This window comes from Homo sapiens, chromosome 11, assembly GCF_000001405.40.
Source record: "Homo sapiens chromosome 11, GRCh38.p14 Primary Assembly".
Lineage (NCBI taxonomy): Eukaryota > Metazoa > Chordata > Mammalia > Primates > Hominidae > Homo > Homo sapiens.
The window spans coordinates 119,744,439-119,761,714 of record NC_000011.10 but is presented as its reverse complement, the minus strand read 5'-3'; the positions used below and the strand labels follow the sequence as shown (position 1 = coordinate 119,761,714).

Below are 17,276 nucleotides of genomic sequence, written 5' to 3'. Positions count from 1 at the left end.
CCGGGAGGCAGAGGTTGCAGTGAGCCAAGATTGTGCCACTGTACTCCAGCTTGGGTGACAGAGCAAAACTCCATCAAAAACAAAGAAAGGAAGGAAGGAAGGAAGGGAGAGAGAAAGAAAAGAAAAGAAAAGGAAATGCTAAACAGAGGTCAGTCCAGGTTGTGAAGGGATGAAGCTGGAGCCTGTGACGGTATGAGCCACCAGGGAGTGGTGGCCAGGGGCAGCTGGGCTAGGCAGCAGGACCAAACTCTCCCTCCCAGCAGACAGAGGTGGTGGGAGGGGGGGCCTTGCTGAGATTGTCATGTGGGTCTGGCCCCATTCCCTACCTTGAGGTCTACAGGGGCTCAAGACTTTGGGGGAGTCTCTTCCCATAGTGTTTCTCAGCCTTCACAACTGAAGGAGCAGGCAGAGATTAGGCAGGGGGTACCTCGGGGCCATAAACACCCCAGCCCGACCCCACTCACCTGGGCCTTTCTGATGAGCAGCTTTAGAATCCACTTTGACCTTCAAGAATAAAACCATCATTCTTACCAGAACCACTTGATATGTTCCATTGTATCCAGTGGAACCAAGTAACAAAGCCGAGTCCCCATAATGTCCTGTGATAACAGTAACAATCATTACTAGCATTTGGACACCCTGTAGAATTACAAGGCACCTGCCTGTTTAATTGCCTTCCTTAATTCTCACTGCAACCGTAGAAGGTAGGTGGTGAATTATGATCCCCATTTTTAAGTTGAGGAAATGGGGGTGTTCAGAGAGCTAAATAACTTGCCTAAGCTTACACAGCTGTGTAGCAACAGAAGCAAGCTCTGAGCCCCTCTCCAGCCACCATAACCCCATATGCATCGCTAATGCCCCTTGACGTTCCTCACAGAACCCTGCAGATGCTTCACCTCCTAAATAGAGAGGATCTGGACTGGGAAGCCATGAAGTTTCCAGAGACCAGCATGGGCTCCATTCTGTCTGTGTCTGAGCCGTGCTATTCTGCCCCTCCTGGGAGATCTAGGGAGGGAGGGTGGCCACACCCCCATATTGCCAGCCGGCATCTCCTGAGCACCTGCTGTGCATGGGGTATTGGGGAAGATGCCTGCAATACGGGGATGAGTGCAACACGGACAATCAAGGACAAAGACGGGAACTGTGGGATGCAGACTCACAGCACTTCACTCCTTTGTGGCATCTAACTCAGGCCTCGCATTTCATAGATGAGGAAACTGAGCGAGGTGCAGACAGGCTTGCAGAGCAGGGTAGGCAAACTTTTTCTGTAAAAGGCCAGAGAGTAAATATTTTAGGCTTTGCGGGCTGCATATATGTCTCTACAGCATATTATTCTTTGATTTTTTTAAATAATCCAACCTTTTAAAAAGTAGAAACTATTCTTAGCTTAAGGGCTACACAAAATAGGCTGGTTACAGGCAGAATTTTGCCCCCAGGCTACAGTTTGCCAAACTCTGTTCTAGGAAAACATGTAGCCAGTTGCTTCCTGAGCTGGGGTTCATTCAATCAGCCAACCAATATTTGGAGCACTTGCTATGCTCCAAGTGCTGTGCCAAGACCTGGAGGGAAACATCACATGCTCCATGCCGCCAAGTTGCCTGCAGTTTGGTGGGGGAGACAGGTAAGCAAATCATGTCACCTCAATGCATAGTGGGAGGCTATGCAGGACAGGACACCCAGAGGAAAGAAAAGCGAGCTATTCTGGGGTTTTCTGTGTGCTCCCTCCAACACATGGTGGCACGGGTCAAAGGGTGTCACAATCTCTGTGTACTTATCTGTGCCTTCCCCAAGTCTGTATGTTACATGAGGGCAATGACCTGTGTCCATTTGTCCACTACACTGTTTCCAGCACCTCAGACAATGTCCAGCAACAGCAAGCAAGCAATATGTGCCAAAGAAAAGAATGAATGAATCGTACAACGACATAGCTACAGCTCTCAATGTGAAGGTGGGGTGTCTGCTGGGAGCTATAAGAGGAACTCAAGAGACTGAGGGATTGTTCACCTTATCCCCCTCGATTGTTGAACAAAGTGGGTTCATGGAGCCTGGAAATACAGCCCCGGGCACCAGAAACCTTCTTCCTGCTCCATTTTCTCTCCAGCCCCCTCAACCCTCCTCCAACCCTGGCCCTCTCTGCTGACTCATACAGCAGCCACTAACCACACCCCAGCCAAGCGTGCTTAATTAAGCCCCAGTTACCCACAGCTTCTGAGCAAGAGGAAAAGACAGGACTCTGGTGGTGTGCCCATCCAGAGGGAGCTGGGTCGGGTGTGGGATCCGGGGGGATGCATGTGCGTGACAGTGGGGCACTCATTGGGAACCCGCAGTAAAATAACAATAGCTCATATTTACTGAGCAGGCACCCTGTGCCAGGAATTGCGCTAATCCTTTCTGTAATATTAACTTAAACCTGCTCATAGCAAATTTATGACATAGTATTACTTTTAATTGCAAAAACCGCAATCACATGTGCACCAACCTAATACTATTACGTCCATTTTACAAATGAGGAAACTGAGGCTCAGAGAAGCTACATGACTCACCCAAGGTCACATAACTAGTAAGTAACAGAGTTTAAAGGACTCCCGTTTTCTGGTTTCCCATAGCAGGGGGGAGGGAGTGTTTAGAGAGAGGAAGGGCAGCCTTGTCCAAAACCCTGACCCCACTGTCCGGTGGCCTGGGCTCCTTCTGATAGCAAGGCCCATCCTGACTCACACACAAGGGGGCAATTCCATCTTTATCTCAACCTACATTTATCATACACCTCCTATGTGCCACACTCAGGGGACATGAATCAAGAGACGAAGTCTCTCCCATAGGAAGCTCACAGGCTGGTGAGGGAGCAGCACTATAACTATGCTGGGCCTTTAGGGTCCACTGGTGCCTGGGGATGGGGCAGAGGCCAAAAAGTAGCATGCATTGCATTCCTACCAGTGCCAGACACTGGGGATGGCACATCTTTTACCTTTCCTTCATAACCTAGAGTATATGTATTTTTGGTGTGATTGTTCTACACTAGACCATATATTCCATGACATGAGCCAAGTATCTCAGGGTATGGCAGAGTACTTGGCATGAAGTTAATGCTCAGTAAATATTTTTAAATGAATGACTGAATAAAACATAGCTCCTGCCCTCGTGGAACTTACTGTCCAGGCAAGGAAATCAAGATATAAACAGATGATTGCAATATGGTGTGATGAATGCAACAGGAATGAGAAGACAGCCTCCATCCAGGGAGCTGTGCAAGGCATCCTGGGAGAAAGATGCTGAGGCCAGGTCTTGAAGAAAAAACAGTAGCTTCCCACGGATATGGGGATGAAGGGCCCTTGGGGCTAAGAAGACAGCCCTTGCAAAGGCAAGGAGATGTGACTTAGTGGAATGAATGAGTGGATATACTGTTTGTTCCCTTCAGAAAAAAGACTGAGCTGGGTACAGTGGCTCATATCTGTAATCTCAGCACTTTGGGATGCTGAGGCTGGAGGATAGCTTGAGGCCAGGAGTTTGAGACCAGCCTGGGAAACATAGCAAGACCCCCATCTCTACAAAAACTAAAAAAAAAAAAAAAAAGCCAGGCATGGTGGCATGTGCCTATAGTCCCAGCTACTTGGGAGGCTGATGTGGGAGGATTGCTTGAGCCTAGGAGGTCAAGGTTGCAGTGAGCCATGATTGCACCACTGCACTCCCACCTGGGTGACAGAGTGAGACCTCATCTCAAGAGAAAACAAAAGAGAAAGAAAGAAGACTGTATGAGCGGCCAGGTCGGAGTGGGTTTGATCTTCCTGGGCCTGGGAATCTTACAAATGTGGCAGCCCTGCCCTGGACAGGACACCCCATCCCAAAGCTAGGAGACATATTTCTAGCATGTGGGTGCATGGAGAAACTCCACATGGCTTCGTGGGGCTGAATTATGGGTGGGGGAGGTGAGGTGGAGGGAGGCAAAGAGACACAGCTGGAGCTGGGGGCTGGTTCCAGATCCCAGGGGCCCTGACTGCCATGCCAGGGAGATTGGACCTTATTCCTTAGGCAACGGGGGTTACTGAAGGATGCTGAGCAATCGAGTATGTATTCAATCTGTGTTTTAGAAAATGGCCCTGGCACGAGTGTGGAGGTTGGGTTGGGAGAAGGTGAGCTTGGGGACAAGCACACCAATCCGGAGGCTGGTGAGGGACTCAGGTGCATCCAGTGGGCAGAGCAGTGAGGACAGCAGGCAGGCGAGGAGAGGCACAAGCATGACATGGAATGGGCAGAACCAAGTGACCATTTGGCTGTGAGAGAGGAAAGAGGTCATTTAAGCTCTCAGAGTCTCAGTCTCTGCCTCTATAAAATGAAGATAAGACGATCTGCACAACAGGGTCATTGTGGGCATTCGCAGAGATAAAGGCTAAAAGGCCTGAACAGGGTCTGACAGGTGGTAGATGGTCTTTTCCTCCTTGCCTCTTGCTGTGCCTTTATGACATGTCTTATGCTTTTTTTTTCACTTTTAAAAAATTGTGGTATATACAGTATAACATAAAAATACACATAACATAAAATTTACCATCTTAGCCATTATTAAGTGTACTAAATACATAATGTGCAACCATCATTACTCTCCAGCTCCATAACTCTTTTCATCTTGTCAAACTGAAACTCTGTACCCATTCAATGATCATTCCCTGTTCTCTCTCCTCCCAGCTCCGGGCAACCACTATGCTACTTTCTGTCTCTATGATTTTCACTACTCTAGCTGCCTCATATAAGTGGAATCATACCGTGTTTTTCCTTTTGTGACTGGCTGCTTTTGCTTGGTATACTGTCCTAAGGTTCATTTATGTTGTAGTGAGTCAGAATTTTCTTCCTTTTTAAGGCTGACTATTCTATTGTATGTAGGGACCACATTTTGCTTACCCATTCATCTGTTGATGGACATCTGGGTTGCTTCTGTGTTTTAGCTATTGTGAATAATGCTGCTATGAACATGGGTATACAAACATCTCTTCAAGACCCTGCTTTCAGTTCTTCTGGGCATATGCCCAGAAGTGAAATTGCTGGGTCACATGGCAATTCTATGTTTAATTTTTTGAGGAGCTGCCATACTGTTCTCCACAGCAGCTGCACCATTTCACATTCCTACCAACAGCGCACAGGGGTTCCAAGTTCTCTACATCCTCACCAACACTTGTCATTTTGGGGTTTTTTTGCCAGTAGTCATCCTCATGGGTGTGAGGTGGGCCACGTCTTATATTTTTTGCATCACGCAGTAGAGCCAAGCTCAGAGGAAATGAACAATACTGGCATAGGTGGGCAGTGTCCCCAGGGCTAGAGCAGCACTCACATGCAGAGGCATGTGCCCTGGCAGTGGGATGGGGTGTCCTGTCCAGGGCAAGGCTGCACACATCTATAAGATTCACAGGCCCAGGCAGATCAAACCCACTCAGGCCTGGCCGCTCATACACAATCTTCTTTCTGAAGGGAGCAAGCAGTGTGTTCACTCTTCATTCCACTGAGTCCACTGGGAAAACAGAAACCACTCTAGGCCTTTCAAGCAGAGGGATTTAAACGAGGGATTTGGTTGTACAGGTAACAGAAGAGGTAGAGCAACCCAGATTAGCAACAGCAGGAAGTTGTCCCCTTCCTGGGGCTGGAAGGAGGCAACGTCTCTAGGAGCCTCGATGCTGAGGCCATCAGACAGAAACTGGAGCCACCACAGGCCCCCCACAGGGAGCTGCACAGCAGGACAGGGCTGATCAGCAGAAGCCAGAGGAGACACAGATACTGCAGGGACATGGCCTGAAACAGACAGAGGGAAGAAATATATCCTGGCTTTTCCCCTCCTCCCACGATCCACCTTCTTCCAGTGCCTCCTCTGATTGGCTGAACCAATCTAGAAGCCAGAAGGTAAGGGAGCCTGGGAAATGCAGCTCCCAGCAACACCAGGCAGGGCAGGGAACAGGAGACAGATCTGGAGCCACCGGCAAGTGATCGGCCCACTCATTCATCCTTTCGCTCCCTCATCTGTTCGGTCAACATTTATTGAGCACCCAGGTGCTGGGGACATGATAACAAACAAGAATTCTGGGTCCTGTCCTCACCAAGCTTAAGGCCAGCAGTTCCTGGACTGTATCCCTCACTGCCCATCCCTGTTGGCCAGGGGCACCCTCTCACCTAGCCTGGGGGCAAGGGCTGCTGCAAAGCTTCCGGGGGCCCCTGGGAAGCTCCCAGTGTACAGAGAAGATGGAGCTGGGCTGTGCTCAGGCTGTGGATGTGGTGGAGCAAGGAGCCCAGCCGGCTCTGCCTCCTCCTCAGCTGAAAGCCCAGCTCGGAACACAATGTCTCCAAAAAGAGAAAAAAACCCTTAAATCCCACTGTTTGTCTTTGGAGCCTGGGAAGCGAGGATCTAGTGAACATAAAACGTGCGGGCTGCTCAGAAGTTGCCTTTGAAACCTCCCCAGGCCGGCTTTGTCAAGGAGCAGCATTGCCTTTCAAAGCTGCTGGGCTCCAATCTGCCCTCTCCCCTCTCCCCGCTTAACCGTAGCAGGCAGCGGCTAATCAGTGGGAGATGTTAAACGCTCCCTAATTCACAGAAGTCCCCAGGCTTCTGGGGAACTGGTAGCAGGGCCGGTGAGCTGGGTGCCTCCATTCCTGCTCGCCCCACCTCACGCCAGCCTCACCTCAGCCCGGTCCCCTCTGAAGGCTTCTCCTCTACGTGAAGCTCACCCCTCCTCCCTCATGCTGGCCTGTGCTCAACCCACCTCTGCTTCCCAAAGTTGTGTCCTCTCCTGGAATCTGCCTCTTCCAAGGAGACCTCCCAGACATAACACACAAATGATGACCAGCCACACCCTGGGTCTCTGCCCTCAACCTGGCTTTTCTCCACATCCCTTCCCATGTGTCCAGGCCCAGGGGTCCCTCGCTGGTCACCACTCGGCATAGCCTCCCTGAGGGAAAAGGTCTCCCCCTTACCCACAGATGAAGTGAGCGAGTGCCCCTGGCCAAGGGGATGGGCAGTGCTGGGCTTTAAGCTTGGCGAGGACGGGACCCAGAATTCTTGTCATTTTCTCCCCAGCACCTGGGTGCTCCAGAAATGTAATGAATGAGTGAGGGAGTGAAAGGTTGAACAAGCGTGCTGATCATCTGCTGTGGCTCCCAGATCCACTGCCTGCTGTTCCCTGTCCTGTTTTGTGCATTTCCCAGGCTCTCTTACCTTCTGGCTTCTGGATCCCTGATCCCTGAGTATTTACGCCAGCTAAGGGGAAGGACAAGTGAAAAAATCCATGGCTTCACCACAAAGACATCCACAGATAGGCAGTCTGGCCCAGAGTCATAACCTGACAGTGACGTACTTTCTGTGACCTTGGGTAAGGCACACCTCTCTCTGGGCTTCAACTCCTCATCTGTAAGGCAAGGGGGTTGTACTAGACCAACAGTTCTCAAACTGGGGTGTGCGTCTGAGTAACCCAGAGAGCCTCTTGAACATGAGTCACTGGGCCTACCCCCAGATTATTGACTCGGCAAAACCTAAGAATCTGCATTTTGAAGATGTCTTCAGGTGATGCTGATGCTTCTGGTCTCGGGGACCACACCAGGAACCAGTGGGCTGGCTGGCTGGATTTTAAGCCTCATTTGTCAGAGTTAAAAAGGGCTGCAGGATGCTTGCTCACTCAGGGGCATGCAGAAGTGGTCATGGGGGTGAGGGTGCTGGGCAGAGCTCCCACCCACCTTAACGCAGGCATTTTGGCTTTAATCAGTTTTGTTTGTTTGCATGTCCAGGTAAGCATGGTCAGAGCCGACGTTCCACACATGAAGTGAAATGTTTGGAAACCTGCTGACTAGGCTAGGAGTCAGGGTGGTCCCTTCGAGCGCTGACATTTCAGGGTCCCATGATCACTCCACACCCCTCCTGGGCTGTTCCTACTTCCCTTTTCTTTCTCACAGCCAAGAAGGGGGTGCAGCAAGAGCAAGACTCAGGATTCGGGTCTTTAATCTTAGGGGAGGGGGTGTGGGGACGGATGGAGAGGTGGGTCATTGTCCTAGGTCACTGTCATCAGTAGGCACATTTCAATCCAGAGATGTGCCATAGAGTGTAGTGGAGTGAGCACACACTGCAGGCAGCCCCCATCCTGAGAAGGAGGCGAGGTCCCACCTGAGTTGGGGAAGTTCCTGGAAAACCCAGAGTAGCTAAAGCTGCATCTGCATGTGCATGTGTGTGTCCGCATGTCTGCACATCTGTGGTCTGTATAAACAAATAAGTCACAGAGAGGGAGATTTTGATTGGAATGATCAGGGTGCAGCTAGACTCTAAATAAAGTAGAAGTCTCCTAGATGCTCAAAATTTAAACTAAAGACCTTTAATTCCAAACTGATACATCTGATGAAGAAACTGAGGTTCCTCTGGAGCAAGAACCAGGGTTTCTGACTCCTGGGTGCAGGCTCTGGCCCCCTGATCTAGATGGATGTCAAAGCCTCTCCCACGTACCAGAATGACATCAGCTGAAATCAATGGATCATGGCAAATGGACAAAAATTTTCACAGAAAAGAATCCAAGGCAAACTAATCCCTTTCCAGCCCTGCTTGTCCCCACCCACGTAGCCATTCCCTGGCCAGCTGCTCCTACGGCTGCCACTTCCAGGAGGGGGCCTGCCCAGCTCTGTACCCAGCTGGGAGAGCCTGCATGGAGGCTGGGAAGGGGACCCAAAAGGCTACACAGACTGAGAGGTCAGTAGCAGGCCTGGTAGAGCCCCCTCAACAGTCAGAGCTCACAGGAAGGCAGAGGGCACTAGGCAGTGGGGAAAGAAACAGAAGAAGAAATAGCCCAGACCCTTTAAAGATCAGTGGGGTTCTCCAGGCCCCAGAGCTGTGCATGGATTGGAGTGAAAGACCAGAAGATAAGCAGCTAAGAAGCAGAGGGAGGGACAGACTGAGGGTTGTGTGTGCATGTGTATGCCTGGGCGTGTGTGTGTGACACACAACAGAGTTATCAGACTATGTACATGTGTTTGTGCAAACCTAAGAGAGGCCAACAGACAGTAGAAAATTATGCAGGCTTAGGAAGAAGAGACACACACGCACACACATACACACACACACACACAAATACACACACACACACACACACACAGAGACTGGATGTGGATAAGGCTGGGAACAGAAGAGCCAAGGGGAGCACCAGGCGGTGAAGGGCTGTAAGAGTGAGCCCGGTGCAGGCCTGTTTTTGTCTGTGATGACAGGCTATGACAGAGGACAACGGAGCATGTCTGTGCATGTGTGCAGTGTGGGTGCATGCCCCAGTAATCTGGAGGGCAAGAAGACCATGGGCACCCTTGCATTCAACAGCCCACAGGACTGGACACCCCCAAAAGCATGCTCCCACACTTCTGGGGCCAGGCTTCCCCACTGTCCCTTTCCTGGGATCTTTTCTAACAGCCCCCCTACCCCCAGCTACTACCCAGGTCCTCTCCTGCCCTTGCCTCCCAGGCTTGCCACCCTGCCCCTCTGCTAGGGAGTTTCCTTCTTCCTCCCCAGGAGTTAATGTCACCAGAATATGACAGTCCCAGCCCTAGGACAATAATCTCTGCTTTGGGGACAATGGATGGCATCCCAGTTGGTACAGCTCCAACCCTAGACCCCAACCCCACCTCACCTGTTTCTGTCTCCAAACAGCGGATCCAGTACAGACCTTGAGTCCTACAATCCTGATATCAAAGTTCACCTCTGCCTCTTATACCACACGACCTTGAGCAAGTTGCTTAGGCCTTCTCAAGCCCCCATTTCTTCTGTTAATGAAGAAGAAGAATAGGGTTCTTGTGAGGATCAAATGAGCTAATGAGTTAACGAATGTGAAGCCCCTGGCATTGTGCCAACCATAAAGTAGGTACTTCCCTTTCTGGTCTCTTTAAGTCATGCTCCAATCGGGTAAGTTTCTGTTAAAAAGTCCCAGGGGCTTCCCAGGTAGCGGCATCTTCTTGAAATCCTGAAGGTCCAGGAATCAAGCAGCTAGGAAGAGAAATGTGGAGGGGGATGCAGAGAAGGAAGCAGGCAGGAAGCAGGCACCGCTGGGGGCCGATATGACAGGAATCAGGGACCAGATGAGTAGACTCACCTCCTCAGTCTCCTCCCGCAGTGACCAAGAAACCCCTGCCCCATCAGCAGCGCCTCCAGGGACACAGGAGGCCTGGGAGGAGGCAGAGGTCAGGAAGGGAATTCAGGGGTTGGTGTGCTCATGCCCGGTCTCCTTGCACTTCCTTAATTCCAAAAAGAGGGAGCCAAGAACCACCCCCAAGTTAGACATATCTGAGGGCACAGTCAGCCCATACTCCTCAGCACCTGACTGGGGAGGAGACGGGAATGGGAAGGAGGCTTTCTCCAAAGGGCTCTTCATGGGCTTCCTTTCCCTGTGCAGATGATCAGGAGCCAGGGGTGTCCTGCTCATCAGCACCATGTGATCTAATGCAGAGGAGCTGCACCATTCACTCCTCCCCAAAACTCATTTGTCAAAAGCGGCATACATTATAAATATGTAATGTGGGCTGGGTGCAGTGGCTCACGCCTGTAATCCCAGCACTTTGGGAGGCTGAGGCGGGTGGATCACTTGAGGTCAGGAGTTCAAGACCAGCCTGGCCAACATGATGAAACCCTGGCTCTACTAAAAATACAAAAATTAGCCAGGTGTGGTGGCATGCACCTGTAATCCCGGTTACTCAGGAGGCTGAGGCAGGAGGATCACTTAAACTCAGGAGGTGGAAGTTGCAGTAAGCCGAGATTGCACCACTGCACTCCAGCCTGGGTGACAGAGTGAGACTCCATCTCAAAATAAATAAATAAATAAAGTGTTTCATTCATTCCTTCATTCCTCTAAGGAGGTAGTAGAGCACAACAGCTAAAAGCATGGACTCTGGAGCCAAACTGTCTGGCTTGAATCCCAGCTCCACCAACTAATGGCTGTGTTGCCTTGGGCAATTTACTTAACCTCTCTGTAGCTCAGTTTCCTCATCTGTAAAATAGCAACTATCAATAGCTGCCTCACAGGAGTATTGCGAGGTGTATATGTGTATGTCCAGTGCTTAGAATAATGGCTGACATGTAATAAAAACTAAGCTTGTGCTAGCTGCTATTGTCACATACTCGGTCATCAAGAAATTATTGAGCACATATGTCAGGGTCGGTTCCAGGCTCCAGATCCCATAATGAGCCATCCAGATGCAGCCTCTGCTCTCATGGAGCTTACAGTTTCATGGGAGAGACAAACTTTCACTAATCCTGTAAAAATGTCCGTATATAACGTGACGAGAGCTACAAAGACCAAGGACGCAGCGCCCTGAGGACCTGTAGGGCACTAACTGAGATTTGCAGGTCAGAGAGGAGCTCTTGGGGGTGACGCATGTCCCTGCCATGTCTGACTATCCTGAGGGTGCCATCAGCGTCAGCAGGCACCCAGTGGGGACAAAGCCCAGCCTGTGCCCTTCACAGGCCTGGCCACAGCATGTGTCTGCTCACACCCTCAGTGTGAGAAGCCCAGGCAGCACCAACGTTCCTAACATGCTACCTGCCACCTGCCACCACCCCACTTCTGGGTCCCAAGGTGGCCTGGGAACAGAACCAGGATTCCTGCTTCGAGTCCTCACATTGTCCAGTCAAGAACAGGCACTCTTCCTGTGGGATTTCCTGGCAAAATTTGGCCACCTTGAAGGTCCCAGCTCCCCCTCAGGAGTCCTACTACCTTCCGTAGAGACTGTCCTCAATCTGATCCCAAGCCAGGAAGATGAAGCAATGGATTGTCCGAGGTGCTTTACTGTTTGCTCAGCAAATGTTTCCAGGTGTCTCATTCTATCACCACAACTTCATGCAGTCACTGTTGTGATTATTATTATTATACCTATTTTACAGGTGAGGAAACAGACTCAGAAAAGATAAGCCACTTTCCCAAGGTCACAGAGCTTTTAAGTAGAACAGCTAGCACTCCAACCCAGGTCTGCTTGATTATGATCTTTGAAATAACATGAGTGACTATAATAATAGACAATCCTTCTATAGCACTTTCTACATGACAGGTATCAGCCTATAAACTTTATATATTTAAATCATTTAATCCTCATAATAAACCTATGAGGTAGATGCTATTGTTATTCTCATTTTACAGGTGAGGAAACTGAGGCACGGAGAGGCTAAGCCACCTGCCCAAGGCCAGTTAGATGGGGCATAAGGCAGAGTCACCATGAGGAGAGTCAGAGAATGGTGGCGCTGGGAACGGCCTTAGCAGCCCTCAGTCAGAGGCCCAGGGGGAGGACGGGACAGACTTGAGGCTGTGGTGGAGCAACCCTGCAACCCTGCACCCCTGGTGGCGCCTGCTGCTCCACAGGCTGCCTCTCTGACCCATCTGTCTCCAAGGATGCAGGGGTCTAGGTTGCCCTTGGAGTCTGCCCTTCCCTCCCCCTTCAGTTTGCCCACACTAGTGAGGGCAGGGCACTGCCTTGTCCCACTCCGTATCTCTTCTTCACCCAGCCCTATTGCCCCCATCAAGAGACACCCCTCGGCTGTGGAGTCAGGTATGGCCGAGTCCAAGGCTGCCCCACCCACAGTGATGGAAGAGGTGAAGGAGAAGGGTCAGCTCATGGCCAGCTCAGAGGCCTCAGGAAGGGTGGTGGAGAGCAGCAGAGGAGCCCCTCCACTCGGGTCTCTCTCTCCAGGTGACCTTGACCCAGCACAGTGGGCCTATCCTAAAAAAACGGGCCCCAGAGGGGGGCAAAGGGTGCCCTTGCAATATCATAGCTTCCACCCAGAGAAGGATACAGACCACGACTCTTCCTTGTCCCAGATACCCCACTTCCTCTCCCACCTCCACCTACTCCAGAGACACCTCTGCCCTTCTCAGAGCCAGTCCCTCTCCCAGGAGCACAGGCCCTTCTCTGTCCTTCTCACCACAGCTTAGGAAAGGGCATGGGGTGAAGGACACAGGCAAGAGGCAAGGATTAAAGGCAGCAAAGTACTTGGGAAACTAGAGAATTCCTCTAGCTTTTGCCTTTAGCCAATGGCACCATCCTGGTGCCGCCACCTGAAACCCATGGGGTCTCCACCACTTTGGCCTGCATGCTTTCCACAAGCTGAGCCACCTCTTCCCTAGGGGGCAAGGGGAATAAGAGGAAGGTTTGTTCAAGAGCTGCCCCTGGCCAGGAAGTGGAAAGACCCCTCCAGCTGGGCCAGGTGAGGTAGAGCAGAGGGAGAGAACACAGGAGCGGAGGCAGCACGTGCCACAGCCCGTCAAGGTGACCCTGACTGTTTCTCTTTCTCTTGCAGGTCCCCAGACACAGCTCTCCAGAGGTCTAGTGCAGAGGACAGAGCCGATGCACAGACAAAAAGAAACCCTCAGGGCGAGGCTGGGACAGGGCCCCAGGATGGGAAGGCAGGGCGGGAGGCAGGTTGTGGAGGGGCTGTGGGTCCCACCTTCAAGTTGCACTAAAGCACCTTGAGGAGGCCTTGTGCTGAGCTGGCTTGTTTCTGCCTCCCAGCTGGACCACAAAATGGGAGGAAACATCCCATAAAGTTGCCGAACTGCCTCTGTGGCCGGAAGTGCTGCCAGGGGCTGCCGGTTCCCTCTCTAATTGCTCTTAATTTCTATGATTTGCAGGTCTCAGGCTCATGGAGGGCCCATTCCCCATTGTGATGGACGGGCAGGCACAGTCAGCCTGTTGAGTCAGCCCCTGCAGGCTCTGACTTGGCCCGGCTGGGTCCTGCAAGGTATAGGGCACCCACCTCTCTCCTCCTCTTCCTGGGCCCAATCCAGAACCCTGGGCCACAAGCCCCCACTGAAGCTCCGTCCTTTCTCCCGTTTCACCTTTGCAGGAGGGTCCCGCGGCCTTTCACACAATAATAGAATGAGGACAGATGATGCGCTTGGGACCTGGGTTCAGGTTGGAGCTCTGTCATGTACCTCTGGGAGCCCCTCCTAGGGCCTGGCACATAGTAGGTGCTCAATAAATACATGATCCTCCACTGCTCCGCTGACCTACAGGGGACTTGGCCTTATACCATGTGAAATTTGGACATTTCCTTGTGACAGTGACTGAGGTACAACTGTGGAGTCAGGCTGCCTCTATCTGAATCCTGAATATGCTGCTGTCAAAGTAAACTTGGGCAAGTTGCTTAGCTTCTCGGTGCCTCAGTGTCTTTATCTTTAAAATGGGGGTAATAACATTACCCACCTTACATCCATCTTTTGTGTGAAAAACTTCAAGTATGTTGTGGTAGGCAGAATAATGGACCTCAAAGCTGTCAGCACCCTAATCCCTGGGACCTGTGAATACGTTGCCCTGCGTGGCTAAGGGACTTTGTGGATGTGTTTAGAGAATGACCCTTGATATGGAGAGAGGATCCTGGATGCTCTAGGTATCCCCGACCTAATCATATGAGTCCTTAAAACAAAGACCCCATCCTGGCTGGGTTAGAGAGACAGGTGATAACAGAAGAAGCATCTGAGAGAGAGATGCATTATTTGCTGGCTTTGAAAATGGAGTGGGGAGGGGAGTCACAAACCAAGGAAGATGGTGGCCTCCAGAAATCAGAAAAGGCAAGGAAGTGAAATCACCCCTGGAGCCTCCTGAAAGGAACACAGCCCTTCCAACATCTGGATCTTTGTTTGTTTGTTTTTGTTTTTGAGACAGAGTTTCACTCTTGTCGCCCAGGCCGGAGTGCAATGGCACAATCTTGGCTCACTGCAACCTCCGCCTCCCCTCCTGCGTTCAAGCGATTCTCCTGCCTCAGCCTCCCAAGTAGCTGGAATTACAGGTGCCCACCACCACACCCGGCTAATGTTTTGTATTTTTAGTAGAGATGGGGTTTCACGATGTTGGCCAGGCTGGTCTCGAACTCCTGACCTTGTGATCCACCCCCCCCCCCCCCCACCCTTGGCCTCTCAAAGTGCTGGGATTACAGGCGTGAGCCACCGCGCCTGGCCCCAACATCTGGATTGTTAGCCCAGTGAGACTTGTGTCAGACTCCTAACCTACCACAGAGCTACACGATAATACATTTGTGTTGCTTTATGCCATAAGTTCAATGTTTAAAGTTTGTGATAATTTGTTACAGCAACTACAGAAAACGAATACATATGTGTAAGCACTTAGAGCGGTGTCTCTGGCACACAGTAAGAGCTCAAGAAATGCCAGCTTTCTGTTATTATTATTATAGCACTGCAGTCACACAGGGGAGAGGACATGCTGTTGCTCCACTCCAGGGCAGCTCCTCCCTGGTGTGAGCTCCTCAGAGCCCACAGCTTGCTTCGCTGGGTACTGGAGACCGACGGCAAGACCAGGGGGTAGGGACATCCTCAAAACAACACGTCACTCAGCACAGCCACTGTGTGGGCATCGGACAGATGATCAGACTCCTGCCGTCCCTTTCTTCTAAAGAACAGGAGTGTGGGCACCCTGGAAGAAAGCAGTGGGAGTACCTGGCATAGGCATGATGACATTCCTACAGCTGTCAGTGCAGAGAGGACAGCCCCAGGGCTTAATTGCACCCTACCCCATCCTCACACAACTGGGACTACCAAGGAGACAGAGTGGCCGGGGCAGGCTTGGCCATTTAAATGGTTTGCCATCCAAACGTTGTGCCAGCTGGACTATGGGGGGATGAGCAAGGCCTACAGTAGGAAGGACTTCGAGTCAGACAGAAGGAACGTGGGATTCCTCAGAAGATCCAAGAGAATGGGAAGGGCTGCTTCTGAACAGCGGCGGGCTGGCAGTGGGGCCAGGCAGACAAAACGGTCTCCAGAGGTCCAGTCCTTGATGGGTTGTGGGTCCCCCACACAGAGCAAGCCCCTCCCAATGCCCACTCCTACAGTCCCCTCACTCTGCCACCCCCCGACCAAGGGAAAGGGAGGCTTTGCTCCCACAGAACCTCCAGCCTGCCCACCTCCCCTTCATCCTTGCAGAAGCCTTTCGTCCCGAGTTTTCCTCCTCAGTGGCTCCCACATCCTCCCTGGCTACTGGGGGTCCTCAGAAATCTGTCCCCAACAGATCTTCTACCTCTGAAGGGCCAGCGAGGCCCAGTTTTGTGACTCCTCATAGTCCTTGGTCCTAGGGTAAGAGCCTTCGCCTCAGACCAGACTGAGCCCAACACAGAAACCAGACTGTCTGCAATACCCACAGACCCTGCCCCAGGAGACAAGGGCCACTGGCATTAGACCTGTGCACAAAAGCTCCCTTCGATGGCAAGTTCCCTGAGGGCAGGGTCCATGCCTCTCTAGTAGGCCCACGGTAGTAAGGCAACACCCACTACAGAGCCTGCAGCCTCTCAGAGAGGGCCCTGGAGAAAACCTAACCCCTTGCCATTTCTCCCAAGAGGGGAACTTGGCAGAAGGAGCCACTCCAAAGAGGCCACTGCTTACACCACAGGAGTGAGCAAGGCTGGGGGGCAGGAGAACCACCACTCCCAGGGGTACCCTGAACGCAGCTAAAGGGGCCACTGTCAGCATGAACCCGCCCTTCTCACCACCAACCTCCCTTGACACATTCCCACTGCTCTCTGCCCCACCTCCACGTTCACCAACCACAGCACTTCTCCCTGATCCTCCCTCCATAGCCCTTATCCTCCATCCCCGAACTCACAATCTCACTTTCTGCTAAAGAAACTCCCCTTCCCATCTCCACCTCAACTCCAACTCTAATCATAGGACCACTGCTAGTCCCTGTGATAACTTTGTGCAAATTAGAAAAGATGCCTCTTTCTCCAGGTGGATGCAGGCCTGATGAGAAAAGCATAGGCTGGATTTCAGCCCCCAACTCTTTCTTGGCCAGGTGTCCCTGCACAGTGCACAACCTAGCCACCTGCACACAGCAGCCCCGTTTGACAGACTCAGGGAGTGCACCCACTGAAGGGCCTTGATAGACAGCCCAGCCATGGAGACCCAGGAGAGTGGGCTAATTTATCCATGGTATCATGGCAAGCTGGTGGCACAGTCAAGGTTGAAGATCCAGGTATAATGACTCCCAATCCAGTGCTCATTCCCTCTCCCCACTCCACCTATGTCTCACTCTTGGGAACAAATGGCAAAGCCAAGACAGCAGAACCCATGAAAGCAGCGCCTGGGGAAGCCTTCTTGCACTAATTAGAAGAGAAATGATAACCTCATCTCAAGCTCTGTCTAGACATAAAATTGAACATAAAACTTTCTGAACCGTGTACCACCTAACCCTTGGCTGGTGTGGAATGTAAATACAGATCTTCCCTATTTATTACCCATCTACCAACCACATTAATCTCATGCTACTTCATTGTGAGTATGGCCCGTATGTCTGTC

The 17,276-nt window shown here is 51.5% G+C and overlaps 2 annotated features.

Moving 5' to 3' along the window:
- Window positions 2,273-2,322: an enhancer, noted in NCBI's record as "active region_5634". NCBI's record gives its function as "activates an Ori minimal core promoter by ATAC-STARR-seq in GM12878 lymphoblastoid cells {active_cell/tissue: GM12878}" and the evidence as "EXISTENCE:reporter gene assay evidence [ECO:0000049][PMID:35858748]".
- Window positions 13,427-13,927: an enhancer, noted in NCBI's record as "H3K4me1 hESC enhancer chr11:119618498-119618998 (GRCh37/hg19 assembly coordinates)". NCBI's record gives its function as "activates a minimal SCP1, AML or CMV promoter by ChIP-STARR-seq in naive H9 embryonic stem cells {active_cell/tissue: H9 hESC(naive)}" and the evidence as "EXISTENCE:reporter gene assay evidence [ECO:0000049][PMID:30033119]".